Source organism: Homo sapiens, chromosome 3, assembly GCF_000001405.40.
Source record: "Homo sapiens chromosome 3, GRCh38.p14 Primary Assembly".
NCBI classification, from domain to species: Eukaryota; Metazoa; Chordata; class Mammalia; order Primates; family Hominidae; genus Homo; species Homo sapiens.
This window is the reverse complement of record NC_000003.12, coordinates 195,464,703-195,480,278: the sequence shown is the minus strand read 5'-3', so window position 1 is coordinate 195,480,278 and position 15,576 is coordinate 195,464,703. Positions and strand designations below refer to the sequence as shown.

At 43.7% G+C, this 15,576-nt stretch overlaps 1 annotated feature.

Annotated features, from left to right (window-relative positions):
- Positions 9,607-10,806: an enhancer, noted in NCBI's record as "BRD4-independent group 4 enhancer chr3:195190192-195191391 (GRCh37/hg19 assembly coordinates)". NCBI's record gives its function as "activates an origin of replication core promoter dependent on BRD2, P300/CBP, MED14 and CDK7 cofactors, and independent of BRD4, by STARR-seq in HCT116 cells {active_cell/tissue: HCT116}" and the evidence as "EXISTENCE:reporter gene assay evidence [ECO:0000049][PMID:35650434]".

The following is a 15,576-nucleotide window of genomic DNA, read 5'->3' as shown; positions in this document are numbered from 1 at the left end:
TCACTATATCTACCACTGTGATATCACACAGAGCAGCTTCACTATATCTACCAGTGTGATATCATACAGAGGAGCTTCACTGTATCTACCCCTGTGATATCGCACAGAGGAGCTGCACTATATCGACCACTGTGATATCATACAGAGCAGTTTCAGTGTATCTACCACTGTGATATCGCACAGAGCAGCTTCCCTGTATCTACCGCTGTGATATCATACAGAGGAGCTTCACTGTATCTACCACTGTGATATCGCACAGAGGAGCTTCACTGTATCTACCACTGTGATATCATACAGAGGAGCTTCACTGTATCTGCCGCTGTGATATCGCACAGAGGAGCTTCACTATATCTACCACTGTGGTATCATATATAGGAGCTTCACTATATCTACCACTGTGATATCATACAGAGGAGCTTCACTATATCTACCACTGTGATATCACACAGAGGATCTTCACTATATCTACCACTGTGATATCACACAGAGGAGCTTCACTATATCTACCACTGTGATATCACACAGAGGAGCTTCACTGTATCTATCACTGTGATATCATACAGAGCAGCTTCACTATATCTACCACTGTGATATCATACAGGGGAGCTTCTCTATAACTACCACTGTGATATCATACAGAGCAGCTGCACTGTTGATATCATACAGAGCAGCTTCACTGTATCTCCCACTGTTATATCATACCGAGCAGCTTCACTCTATCTACCACTGTGATATCACACAGAGCAGCTTCACTATATCTACCAGTGTGATATCATACAGAGGAGCTTCACTGTATCTACCCCTGTGATATCGCACAGAGGAGCTGCACTATATCGACCACTGTGATATCATACAGAGCAGTTTCAGTGTATCTACCACTGTGATATCGCACAGAGCAGCTTCCCTGTATCTACCGCTGTGATATCATACAGAGGAGCTTCACTGTATCTACCACTGTGATATCGCACAGAGGAGCTTCACTGTATCTGCCACTGTGATATCGCATAGAGGAGCTTCACTGTATCTACCACTGTGATATCGCACAGAGGAGCTTCACTGTATCTGCCACTGTGATATCACACAGAGGAGCTTCCCTGTATCTTCCCCTGTGATATCGCACAGAGGAGCTTCACTGTATCTGCCACTGTGATATCATACAGAGGAGCTTCACTGTATCTACCACTGTGATATCACACAGAGCTGCTTCACTGTATCTACCACTGTGATATCACACAGAGGAGCTTCACTGTATCTGCCACTGTGATATCGCACAGAGGAGCTTCACTGTATCTACCACTGTGATATCATACAGAGGAGCTTCACTGTATCTACCACTGTGATATCATACAGAGCTGCTTCACTGTATCTACCACTGTGATATCACACAGAGGAGCTTCACTGTATCTGCCACTGTGATATCGCACAGAGGAGCTTCACTGTATCTGCCACTGTGATATCACACAGAGGAGCTTCCCTGTATCTACCCCTGTGATATCGCATAGAGGAGCTTCACTGTATCTACCACTGTGATATCATACAGAGGAGCTTCACTGTATCTACCACTGTGATATCATACAGAGCTGCTTCACTGTATCTACCAGTGTGATATCACACAGAGGAGCTTCACTGTATCTGCCACTGTGATATCGCACAGAGGAGCTTCACTGTATCTACCACTGTGATATCATACAGAGGAGCTTCACTGTATCTACCACTGTGATATCATACAGAGCTGCTTCACTGTATCTACCACTGTGATATCATACAGAGGAGCTTCACTGTATCTGCCACTGTGATATCGCACAGAGGAGCTTCACTGTATCTGCCGCTGTGATATCACACAGAGGAGCTTCACTATATCTGCCGCTGTGATATCACACAGAGGAGCTTCCCTGTATCTACCGCTGTGATATCACACAGAGGAGCTTCACTATATCTACCACTGTGATATCATACAGAGGAGCTTCGCTGCCCTAAAAATCCTCTCCACTGATTCATTCCTTCCTCCTCCCAACCCCTGGCAACCACTGGGCTTTTTGTTAGTTCCATAATTTTGCCTTTTCCAGAATGTCCTCTAGTTGGAATCATACAGTATATAGCCTTTTCAGATTGACTTCTTTCACATAGTAATATGCGTTTCAGCTTCCTCCGTATCTTTTCATGGCTGGATAGCTCATTTCTTTTTAACACTGAGTGTTATTCCGTTTTCGGTATATACCATAGTTTATCCATTAATCCACCGGAGGACATCTTGGTTGCTTATAAGTTTTGGAGATTATGAATAAAGCTGCTGCAAACATCTGTGTACAGGTTTTAACGTGTACAGGTCCTTTGGGTAAATACAAAGGAGTGCAGTTGCTGGATCATACAGTCAGAGTTTTATTTAGTTTTGTAAGAATCTGCCAAGCTATCTTCCAATGCACCTGAACCATTTTCCCACCAGCAATAAATGAGAGTTCCTATTGCTCCACATCCTTGTCAGCATTTAGTGTTGTAAGTGTTCTGGTTTTTAGCCACACTAATGATTTGCATTTCCCAGATGATATGTGATGTGGAGCTTTTTTTTTTTTTTTTAAGAAACAAGGTCTTGCTGTCGTCCAGACTGGAGTACAGTGGCACAATCACGGCTCACTGCACACCCACAACCTCCAGACTCAAGCAATCCTCCCACCTCAGCCTCCCAAGTAGCTGGAACTACAGGCATGCGCCACTGTGCTTGGCTAATTTTTGTTTTTCTTGTAGAGATGGGGTTTCACCATGTTGTCCAGGCTGGTCTCAAACTCCTGAGCTCAAGCAATCCTCCCACCTCAGCCTCCCAAACTATTGGGATTACAAATGTGAGCCACCACACCCAGCCAATTTTTAGATTTTTTTGTAGAGCCAAGGTCTCACTATGTTACCCAGGCTGGTCTCCAACTCCTGGGCTGAAGCAATCTTCACACTTCCCACAGTGCTGGGATCACAAGCGTGAGCCACCATGCCCAGCTGGTTGTTTTATTATTGTTGAGCTTTAAGAGTTCTTTGTATATGTTGAATAACAGTCCTTTATCATATAAATCTTTTGCAAATATATTCTCCCAGTATGTGGCTTGTTTTCTTTCTCTTGAATGAATTTTGAGAACTATACTTTGAACACTTAGCTTTCTTTTTTGCCCAGATTCTGGAAAAATAGTATTACATATGTTGATGAGAATTCTCTGAAGAATTAAAAATAAGAGATAAATGTTGATGAGGATGTGGAGAAAAGAGAACCCTTGTAAACTGTTTGGGGAATATAAATTGGTACAACCATTATGGGAAACCATATGAAGCTTCCTCAAATAATTAAAAATAGAACTACTGTATGATCCAGCAATTCCATTTCTGGGTATATATCCAAAGCAAATGAAACTGGTATGTTGAAGAGATGTAAGTGTCCACCAACAGTTGAATGTATAAAGAAAATGTGGTGTATATACACAGTGGAATATTATTCAGCCTTAAAAAAGAAATGCTGTCATTTGCAAGGACATGGATGAACGTGGAGGACATATGTTAAGTGAAATAAGCCAGGCACAGAAATGCAAATACTGCATGACCCCACTTACGTGTGGAATCTAAAAAAGTCAAACTCAGAAGTAAAGAGTAGAATGGGCCAGACGTGGTGGCTCACACCTGTAATCCCAGCACTTTGGGAGGCCAAGTCGGGAGGATCATGAGATCAGGAGATCAAGACCATCCTGGCTAACATGGTGAAACCCTGTCTCTACTAAAAATGCAAAAAAAAAATTAGCCGGGCATGGTGATGGGCACCTGTAGTCCCAGCTACTCTGGAGGCTGAGGCAGGAGAATGGTGTGAACCCGGGAGGCAGAGCTTGCAGTGAGCTGAGATCGTGCCACTGCACTCCAGCCTGGGTGACAGAGTGAGACTCCGCCTCAAAAAAAAAAAAAAAAAAAAAGAGCTTGGGTGACAGGGTAATACTCTGTCTGGAAAAAAAAAAAAAAAGAGTAGAATGATGGTTGCCAGTGGCTGGGGTTTGGGGTTGGAAAGATGTTGGTCAAAGGACATAAAGTTTCAGTTAGATGAAGGAATAACTTGGGGTAATCTGTTGTTAAATATGGTGACTATAGTTAATAACAGTGTTTTGGCTGGGTGCAGTGGTTCACCCCTGTAATCCCAGTACTTTGGAAGGCCGAGGTAGGAGGATCACTTGAGGCCAGGAGTTCAAGACCAGCCTAAGTAACATGGTGAGACGCTGTCTCTAAAACATAAAAAATAAAATGAGCTGGGTGTGGTGGTACATGCCTGTAGTTCCAGCTACCTGGGAGGCTGAAGCGGGAGGGTTGCTTGAGCCTAGGAGGTCAAGGCTGAAGTGAGTTATGATTGTGCCACTGCACTCCAGCCTGGGGGACAGAGTGAGACCCTGTCTCAAAAAAAAAAAAAAAAATTAATAACAGTGTTTTATATACTTGAAAATTGCTGAAAGAGCAGATTTTAAATGTTCTTAGGATGAAAAACTAAGTATATGAGGTGATGGATGTGTTAGTTTGATTTAACTATTCCACGATGTATATACATAAATCAAAAATGTGTGTACATACCATAAATATATAATTTTATTTGTTAATTTAAAAAATTAAAACAGAAGGGTGTATTCTTCTTTTCGAGATCTTCTAGATTTTTTATGTAAATGCAAGTGAGTAAAAATGTGATGACTTTTTGGTTGTTGTTTGTTGGTTTGTTTGAGATGGAGTTTTGCTCTTGTTGCCCAGGCTGGATTGCAATGGCGTGATCTTGGCTCACTACAACCTCTGCCTCCTGGGTTTGAGCTATTCTGCTGCCTTAGCCTCCCAGGTAGCTGGGATTGCAGGTGCCTGCCACCATGCCCGGCTAATTTTTTAATATTTCTAGCAGAAATGGGGTTTCACCATGTTGGCCAGGCTGGTCTTGAACTCCTGTCCTCAAGCGATCCGCCCACCTCGGCCTCCCAAAGTGCTGGGATTACAAGTATGAGCCACCCCGCCAGGCCTCTTTTTTTGAGACAGAGTCTCACTCTGTTGTCCAGCCTGGAGTGCAGTGGTGCAATCTGGGCTCACTGCAACCTGTGCCTCTCGAGTTCAAGTGATTCTCCTGCTTCAGCCTCCTGAGTAGCTGGGATTACAGGCATGCAGCAAGACGCCTGGCTAAATTTTGTATTTTGTATTTTTATTAGAAACGGGGTTTTGCCATATTGGCCAGGCTGGTCTTGAACTCCTGACATTAAGTGATCCACCCACCTCAGCCTCCCAAAGTGCTGGGATTACAAGCTTAAGCACCGCACCCGGTCGACTTTTCCTCTCCTCTCCCCTCCCCTCCCCTCCCCTCCCCTCCTCCCCTCTCCTCTCCTCCCCTCCCCCCCTCTCCTCTCCTCTCCTCTCCTTCCTCTCTCTCTTCCTTCCCTCCTTTCCTCCTCTTTCTTTCTCCTTCCTTCCTTCCTTCCCTCCCTCCCTCCCCCACCTTCTCTTTCTCTCTGTTTCTCTCTTTCTTTCTTTTTCAGGGTCTCACTCTGTCTCCCAGCCTAGAATGCGTGGTGCAATCACAGCTCACTGCAGCCTTAACCTCCCAGGCTCAGGTGATCCTCCTGCCTCAACCTCCAGAGTAGCTGGGACCACAGGTGCACACCACCACGCCTAATTTCTAAAATTTTTTGTAGAGACGATGTCTCGCCATGTTGGCCAGGCTGGTCTCAAACTCTTGGCCTCAAGTGAACCTCCTGCCTCAGCCTCCCAAAGTGCTGATATTACAGGCATGAACTACCATGTGCAGCCTACTTCAAGTTTTTTAAATGACAAAAAGATCCACTTGCTGGATTTACCTATATTCAGAAGATGTGGATAGACCAATACAAGATAGAAGTTTAGAACGTATCTTGAACATTTCAGATACTCTACTAAGCGTATTACATGAATTAGTTCATTTAATCCTCAAAACAACAGAGCTAACATGAGAAAGACTTCGCTAGATTCAGGGTCACCTAGATCACTGGTGATCTTAGTGAGAGTGTCCTCATTGGCCTTTTGAGGGTAGCAAGCCACATTGCACGGGGCTGAGGAATGAGTGGAAGGTGTGGAAAGGGATACTGCATGTATAGGTAGCTTGTTTAAAAAGTTTAGTTGTGAAAGTGAAGACAGAGGCCGGGCACTGTAGCTCACGCCTGTAATCCCAGCACTTTGGAAGGCGGGTGAGGGGGGATCACATGAGGCCAGGAGTTTGAGACCAGCTGCTCGGGAAGCTAAGCCACGAGAACCGCTTGAACCCGGGAGGCGGAGATCGCGGGGAGCTGAGGTTGCGCCACTGCACTCCAGCCTGGGCGACAGAGAGAGAGGCCGTCTCAAAAAAAAGAAAGAAAGAAAGAAAGAAAAGAAAAAAGAAAACGAAGACAGAGACAGAATAGACAAGATACGGCAGGGATTTGTATGTTTATATTTTAGAAATTATTAAGTATAGGATATGAGAAGTTTCACCTCATAAATAGGACGAGTGCTCACATTACTAGATACTGTTTAAAAATTAATCACCAGTAATAAGTTTGAAAAAAGAATTATGAAAGTACCCAACCAAGCTGGGCGCGGCGGCTCACACCTGTCATCCCAGCACTTTGGGAGGCCGAGGCGGGCGGATCACGAGGTCAGGAGATCGATACCATCCTGGCTAACACGGTGAAACCCTGTCTCTACTTAAAAAAAAAAATACAAAAATTAGCCGGGCTTGGTGGCGGGCGCCTGTAGTCCCAGCTACTCGGGAGGCTGAGGCAGGAGAATGGCGTGAACCCGGGAGGCGGAGCTTGCAGTGAGCGGAGATCAGGCCACTGCACTCCAGCCTGGGCCACAGAGCGAGACTCTGGCAAAAAAAAAAAAAAAAAAAAAAAAAAAAAAAAGGAATGAAGGAGGGAGGGAGGGAGGGAAGGAAGGAAGGAAGGAAGGCAGGCAGGCAGGCAGGCAACCAATCATCCTGCTTTCCTGTTCTTTGAATCAGCTACCTCCTTATCTGTGCATGTTATTTTTTCCCTATGCTTCTGTAGGCACTAAAGCTGTGCATATTATACTATGCACATAATGTTAAGCATTTCTTTTTCTTTTTTTTTTTCCGAGACGGAGTCTTCCTCTGTCGCCCAGGCTGGAGTGCAGTGGCGCAATCTCGGCTCACTGCAACCTCCGCCTCCCAAGTTCAAGCAATTCTCCCTGCCTCGGCCTCCTGAGTAGCTGGAATTACAGGCGCCCACCATCATGCCCGGCTAATTTTTGTATTTTTAGTAGAGACGGGGTTTCACCATGTTGGCCAGGCTGGTCTCGAACTCCTGACCTCATCATCTGCCCGCCTCAGCCTCCCAAAGTGCTGGGATTACAGGTGTGAGCCACCGCACCCAGCCCTAGTGTTAAGCATTTCATAGTGGCATCTTCTCAGCCTGGTTTTTTCCTTAATGCAATACCTAAAACACATCACTGTTTTCTATGCTGTAGGTTTATGAGATCTATATTAATATTTTCCATTATTTTCATGTTATTTGCCTTCAAAAGTTCATCTATTTTTAAACCATTAATTAGTTTCCAAGCAGATGGCACAACAACTGAAATCTTTTTCAGAGTCAGAGGCTTTGGTATATATTGTTAGAACCCCAAACTTTATGGTTCTTTGTTCAGACATCTTATTAACAATAGGGATTGCATCCAAATTTTAGTTATAATGCAAATTAAAATAACTACTGGTGGCAAAAAAAAAAGCTACTAAAAAATTTTAAATCACCACCCCCTATTTTTTGTTACATGAAATTTTGGACAGTAAAATGGCAGGTCTTGTAGGAAGGCGATATTCCAACGCCCCATAACAAAACACTTGAGCACAGAGCTAGACAGCTCAGAGCTAATTTTGGAGCTCAGCAGTCAAAGCAAAATTTTTCAAAAGGATATCTGAGAAAAAACAGGTCTTAAGTTTACATTGTTTTGTTTAAACTCCATGTGGACAAAACTAAACTCAAACTTTCCCCACCAAATAATGCCAAAACCGTGGAGGAGTGTCTTCCTGACACCCGCGCTATGCACCGGGTCATCTTTGCTCTTCTTCTTACCCTCACGCCTACATTTTACAGGTTACTAAGCTCTGTCAACATTACCATCAAAATGACCCTCGAATCTGTCCTTGTCTAGCTGCTCGGTATCTACTCTTTCTTCGATCCTTTACTACCCACCCCCCAATTAGTCTTTTTCAGTCCCTCCTCTTGTCACCCTCGCTAATCCTGGATATTATTATCCAGGATATTCCTGGATATTATTATCTTTTTAAAACAAATGTAATCATACACTAAAATATTCCCAGTTTTACCACTTGTGGCTCCCTATAGATCGCAGGATAAAATCAAAACTTCATTTGCCCTTAGGTCCTTTATACTGTGGCCCTGGTCCACAAGCATCTTTCCAAGCCATGTTTCTTTCCGCCCTCTACATGTCCCCTGGGTTTGAGTGAAGCTCAGCTGTTCTTTTTTTTCTATCACAGCTCTTGTTTTATTACTTTCTTTTTCTTTTCTCTGAATAGCAACTCTCTAATGTTCTGGTATTTTCTGCCTTTTAGGTCAAATTCCACCTCCTACATTAAGCTTTTTTGTATGTGATTTTTTTCCTTTGAATCCCTATTATTATTTTATGTTTATTTCTCCCATATGGCATCTGCTGCTCTGCATTGTAAAATTATGTATACCTGTCCTCTCTTTCCCTGAACTAATCACATCTTTCTTATATATTTTCTAACTCATAGGAAGGTCCACGATGAATGTTTAATTATTCTCAAGTCTTTAGGTATAGTAACTAGTGAAGCGTTAGTATGTGATTCCAGTCTGTAATGAGGGATCCCTATTGCTCATCTACAGCTGGATGTAAATGCACGGACCAAGAAGAAGGTTGCATAGATTCCAATGCCTTGGATTTTTTCTCGATTGGATGTAAGAAAATATTCCAGCTACGCTGCTCTTCCTCTCTTTTCTCTAGATCTGGACACAAAGCAAACTTGCTGGATTGTCAAGGTACGCAAGGATGCAAGGTATATGTAGATTCTAACAGATGGGATTCGGCCTACCACAGAAACTTCTATTCCATTTAGTTTGAGCTGAGTTTATCTACCCTGTGGTCTTAGAATATTCAAAGGTGATGGGGATCAGTGCTAAATTGTTGATACTTGGATCCTGTCTCAAGGGGACTGGAACAGTTTGGTTTGAAGAGCCCTCTGTTTCCAAATGCTGGTTAGCACGGAAACATGGTGATATTTTATATTTTTTACTGACATATCGGTCCATGGAGATACAAATGTTAATTTCAACAGATGTGTCAATTTTGCTCAGTAAAAGGTGTCAGAACATTGTACCATCACCAAAAATAGCTTCTTGAAGGCCCTGGGTCCCTGGATTTAGAAAGGTTAAAAATAAAACAAAAACATTTTTACATATTTTTCAAATGCTGGTAAAATATGCTCTACACAAGGACTTTATCAGTGTACTTATTATCAGGATAGTTTCTTGCATAACCCAAATGACAAATATCTCTGCCAAGTTTTTATAAACTCCCAGGGATTTTTCATCTGCTTTTTTCCTTTCAAGCTATTTATTGATATGGGAAGGCTTATTTAATAGAATTTTATTATCCATGTGCATCTTAATCCAGCTTTGAAGATAATTTGGTTTTGGCTGCTATTCAATTCCAAGACAACAATTTAAGGTAGGTGACTGGATAGCTGGTTGGCAGCTGGGGTTTAGAATAGCTTTGTTCTTAATTTGGTTTGCTTCAGTTGGACATTACTCTAATTTTCTTCTTACATTCAAACAGCAACAACAAGATTTTACTAAGTATTGTGAAAGTAAAGGAGAACTTACAAAAATATGAAATAGGGTGAATTTGTGGATATGGAACCACATTACACCATTGAAAACAGAGGATGCCTTTTTATGATACAAAGTTGGCCACAGTAGCACCACCATGTCACTACATGTATTAGGTTTTACTGTGACTATAATCATTTCCCCTGAAAGTTAACAAATACAATTGGCCCTTTGTATTCCTGGGTTCCACATCCATGGATTCAACCAACCTTGGGTAAAAAATATTTGCAAAAAAAATTACATCTGTACTAAACATGTACAGACATTTGTTCTTATCATTATTCCCTCAACAATACATGATAATGACTATTCACATAGCATCACATTGTATTAGGCAGTATAAGTAATCTCAAGATTACTTATACTTCCCCCCTCAAGATGATTTAAAGTACATGGGAGCCAGGCACGGTGGCTCATGCCTGTAATCCAAGTGCTTTGGGAGGCCACGGCAGGAGGATCGCCTGAATCCAGGAGGTTGAGGCTGCAGTGAGCCATGATTGCATCACTGTACTCCAGCCTGGGTGACAGAGTGATGCCCTGTCATGGAAAATAAAATAAAAGTTAAAAATAAAGTATAAGGGAGAATGTGCTTAGGTTATATGCAAATACAGTGCTATGCCATGTTTTTTTTTTTATCAGGAACTTGAACATCTGCAGATTTTGGTATCACAGGAGGTCCTGGAATCAATCCTCTGCAGACATGAGGGACAACTGTACAATGAAAACTTGATATGACATAGTGTATTAGTCCGTTTTCAAGCTGCTAATAAAGACATACCCAAGACTGGGCAATATGCAAAAGAAAGAGGTTTATTGGACTTACAGTTCCACGTGGCTGGGGAGACCTCACAATCACGGCAGAAGATGAAAGGCACATCTCACATGGCAGCAGACAAGAGAAGAGAGCTTGTGCAGGGAAACTCCCCTTTTTAAAACCATCAGATCTCCTGAGACTTGTTCACTATCACAGGAACAGCATGAGAAAGACCTGCCCCCGATTCAATTACCTCCCACAGGGTTCCTCCCACAACACATGGGAATTCAAGATGAGATTTGGGTGGGGACACAGCCAAACTATATCACACAGGTCCTTTACAAGGTGCCACCACTAGGTACTGGTGCATCCGAGATTCCAACCCAGGTAGCCTCTGGAGCCTGTGCTCTTGAAGCAGGTGTGCCAGTGTTGCCACCTAAGTCCACATTATGCCTCTTTCATCTGCTATTTGTTTGTATTGTTCTTTGCATACTTGTGTTTCTATTATCTTCTGGGATATGCATAAAATCCAAGGTCTCTACCATGACCAGCAAAGGTCTGCATGATCGGGGCCGACCTGCATCTCCAGCATCATCCATCACTCTTTCGCCATGCTCACTCTTTGCCATTCCTCAGATAGCCCCAGCTCATTCCCACTGCAGGAGCTTAAAGCACTCTGTCTCTTCTGCCTGGATTTCCCTTTCCACACATTACTATCACTTGCTCACTCAGTTTCCTTATGTTTCTGTCCAGCGTTACCTCCTCCTTGATTACTCTATAACCCCCTACCCTGTTTTATTTTTCTTTGTAGCATTTATCACTCTTGAAATTATCTATTTGTTTATTCTTGTTTTTGTCAATCTCCCCTTCCACTAGAATGCAGACTCCATGGAGGTGAGGATTTTGTCTGTTAATTGAATCACAGGGGCAGGTCTTTCCCGTGCTGTTCTCACGATAGTGAACAAGTCTCAGCAGATCTGATGGTTTTCAAAAGGGGAGTTTCCCTGCACAAGCCCTCTGCTCTTGTCTGCTGCCATGTGAGACGTGCCTTTCATCTCCTGCCATGATTGTGAGGTTTCCCCCACTACGTGGAACTGTAAGTCCAATAAACTTCCTTCTTTTTTGTCTGTTTTGTTCATGACATGACTCTGGTGTCTACAGCAATGCCAGGTACATGATAGATGCTCTGTACTGATGGAACAAATAAATTTAATTTCTCCCAAGAGTCTATGAGGTAGATAAGGCAGATAGTATCATATCCCTTTTAGAGTTGAGATGGTCTCAGAGAGATGAAGTCAATACCTCAGATGTATTGGCTAATAAGTGGTTGGGACTAAAGTGAGGCTAAAGTCTCTCCTTCACTATCAGATCTGGGCATTTTTCACTGAACCAGCATGGTCTCTCTGATGTCATCTGTTTTTCTCTTCTTTGCCTCCAGTGTGGTTACAAAACATTTCTGAAATTACTGCCTGCTTCACTCATTACATCAACCAAACCACAGGTAAGACTGACTACAGAGTTTGAAAATTCTGAGTTAGTGGCTCTAACTTTTGCTATTTCCTAACATGATTCTTCTATGATTAAAACTTTGACAGGTTTATAAATCTGTATCCTTTTCCCCATGTCCCATTTCATATGCAGTCAGAATATTTAGATAAACCCAAATTTTTGCTAATTTGAATGAATTTATGTATTTAATGTGGATTAAATCTCAGTTCTCCTTCTATTTCCTGTTATAAGTCATTTAATCTCTCTGGGCCTTGGTATCCTCAATTAGTAAGTGGGGATAATAATAGTAACTACTTCATAAGGCTGATTTTTTTTTTTTTGTTTTTGAGGTGGAGTCTTGACCTGTCACCCAGGCTGGAGTGCAACAGTGCAATCTCGACTCACTGTAACCTCCCCCTCCCAGGTTCCAGCGATTCTCCCACCTCAGCCCCCTGAATAGCTGGGATTACAGGTGCACGCTATCACGCCCCGCTAATTTTTTATATCTTTAGTAAAGACGGGGTTTTACCATGTTGGCCAGGCTGGTCTCGAACTCCTGACCTCATGATCCACCCGCCTCAGCCTCTTAAAGTGCTGGGATTACAGGTGTGAGCCACTGCGCCTGGCCGGCTGTTCTGATTATTCAATAAGAGTACATAAAGTGCCTACCATATAATAATGGCTCAATAAGTAGTAGCTATGCACTGTTTTACTATGTTCCATGCACTCATAGATGTGAGGATACAACAGTGAGCAAGCTAGATTTGGGGCCTTCTCCATCAGAACTTTCGGGGTAATAAGGAAGACGGTTGAACAGTTGAATAAAGGAGACATCTGTCAAGTACTGTAAGGGGGTGGAGGGTCAGTCTTGGAGTTATCCTTGACTCCTCTTCTCTCACACTCCACCTCCAGTCCCTCAGCAAATCCTGTCAGTTCTACCTTCAGAAAAAGGCCAGACGTTGATCATATCCTGCCACTTCTTCTACTGGCACCCTGGTCTGGGCCTTGATCAACTCTCGAGAACCTGGATTATGCCAATAGTCTCCTAAATGATCGGTCTCCCTGCCTCCACCCTTGCACTACAGTTTATTCCCCATAGAGCAGCCAAAGGTGATCCTGTTAAAACTCTTCAAATTATGTCACTTGCTATAGGCAGAATACTCCCTCCCCATCACCAAACATGGCCGTGTCCTAATCCCTGGGGCTTATGAATGTGTTGCCTTACATGGCCAAAAAGATTTCACAGGCCAGGTGCGGTGGCTCACGCCTGTAATCCCAGCACATTGGGAGGCTGAGGTGGGTAGATCACAAGGTCAGGTGTTTAAGACCAGCCTGACCAACATGGTAAAACCCTGTCTCTACTAAAAGTACAAAAATTAGCTGGGCATGGTGGCGGGTGCCTGTAATCCTAGCTACTCAGGAGGCTGAGGCAGGAGAATCGCTTGAACCTGGGAGGCGGAGGTTGTGGTGAGCCCAGATCATGCCACTGCACTCCAGCCTGGCAACAGAACAAGACTCCATCTCAAAAATAAAATAAAATAAAATAAAATTTCACAGATGTGATTAAGGACCTTGAGCTAGGGAGATTATTCTGCATTATTCAGGTGGGCTCAACCTAATCACATGAATTCTTAAAAGTGGATAACCTTTCCTGAGTGTGGTCTGAGGGAGACGTGACCACAGAAGAACAGTCAGAGAAATGCAATGTTGCTGGCTTCGAAGATGGAGCAAGGGAACCTTTAGAAGCTGGAAAAGGCAAAGAAACATCCTCTCCCCTAGAGCCTCCAGAAGGAGGAATGCAGCGCTGCCAACATATCAATTTTATCCCAGTGAGATAACTTCTGACCTCCGGAACTGTAAGATAATAAATTTGTGTTGTTTTAAGCCACTGAATTTTTTTTTTTTTTTTTTTGAGATGGAGTCTCGCTCTGTCACCCAGGCTGGAGTGCAGTGGCACGATCTCAGCTCACTGCAAGCTCCGCCTCCTGGGTTCATGCCATTCTCCTGCCTCAGCCTCCCAAGTAGCTGGGACTACAGACACCCGCCACCATGCCCAACTAATTTTTAGTATTTTTTGTAGAGGTGGGGTTTCACTGTGTTAGCCAGGATGGTCTCGATCTCCTGACCTTGTGATCCATCCGCCTCGGCCTCCCAAAGTGCTGGGATTACAGGTGTGAGCCACCGCGCCTGGCCAAGCCACTAAATTTGTGGTAATTTGTTACAGCAGGAATAGAAACTAATACATCACTCTTCTGCTCAGAATCCCCCAGCGGCTCCCCAGCTCACACAGGGTAAAAGACAAAGTGACCTCCAAGGCCCTAAGCCATCTGGATCCCAGTATGTTGCAGAACTCATTTGCTCCAGGTCCCCTTGGCTTACTCTGCTCCAGCCACACGGCCATTCCTGGACCATCCAAGCATTCTTTCCACTCAGGGTCTTTGCACCGGCTGTTCTCTCTTTCTGGACTACTCCTCCCCCAGAAGTCCACAAGGCTGTCTCCTACTTCCTTGGGTCCCTGCTGGGATGTCGCCTCCTCCATGAGCCCCTCCTCAACCTCTCAACATGAAATAGGCACATGTCCAGCCCACCTAACCCTGCCTTTTCTTGTTAACACTTGACACCACTTGACATATTATTTAATCGTTTATTATCTCCATACTCTCCCTTCGGAAAAGATGAGTTCACAAGGGCAGGGACTTTGTCTTCGTGGCTTCTATATCTCCTTGCATGGGATAAGTGCTCAGTAAATAATTTATTATCAAATAAATTGAATGGATGGGCCCGGCGCGGTGGCTCACGCCTGTAATTGGCACTTTGGGAGGCCAAGGCGGGCGGATCATGAGGTCAGGAGATTGAGACCATCCTGGCCAACATGGTGAAACCCCATCTCTACTGAAAATACAAAAATTAGCCAGGCGTGGTGGCATGCGCCTGTAATCCCAGTTACTCGAGAGGCCGAGACAGGAGAATCACTTGAACCTGGGAGGCAGAGATTGCGGTGAGCCAAGATTGCACCACTGCACTCCTGCCTGTCAACAGAGTGAGATTCCATCTCAAAAAAAAAAAAAAAAAAATTGAATGGATGAATGAGGGACAGAGAAGGAAGAAAGGAGAGAGTGTTATGGGAACACGGATATCTCAGGTAGTATAAGGAAATAAGGGAGGACCTGAAGTGAAGCCCATGTAGGAATTAACCAAATGCAGAGGGGACATGTTTTAAACATAGGGAACAGCAAGTATGAGGTCATACAAATGGCCAGCAGGCTGGAGCATACAGAGGCAGCATGATACGGCTTGGAAACTTATTTTAAGCAGTTGGATTCACTGTTAACCACTGTGGAGAATTCTGGCCCAGAATGCTTAGTCTGGAATTACACTGCTGCTTGGGTTCAAATCCTGGCCCTGTCTCTTACCAGCTATGTGTCTTTGGGCTGTTACTCACCATCTTTGTTA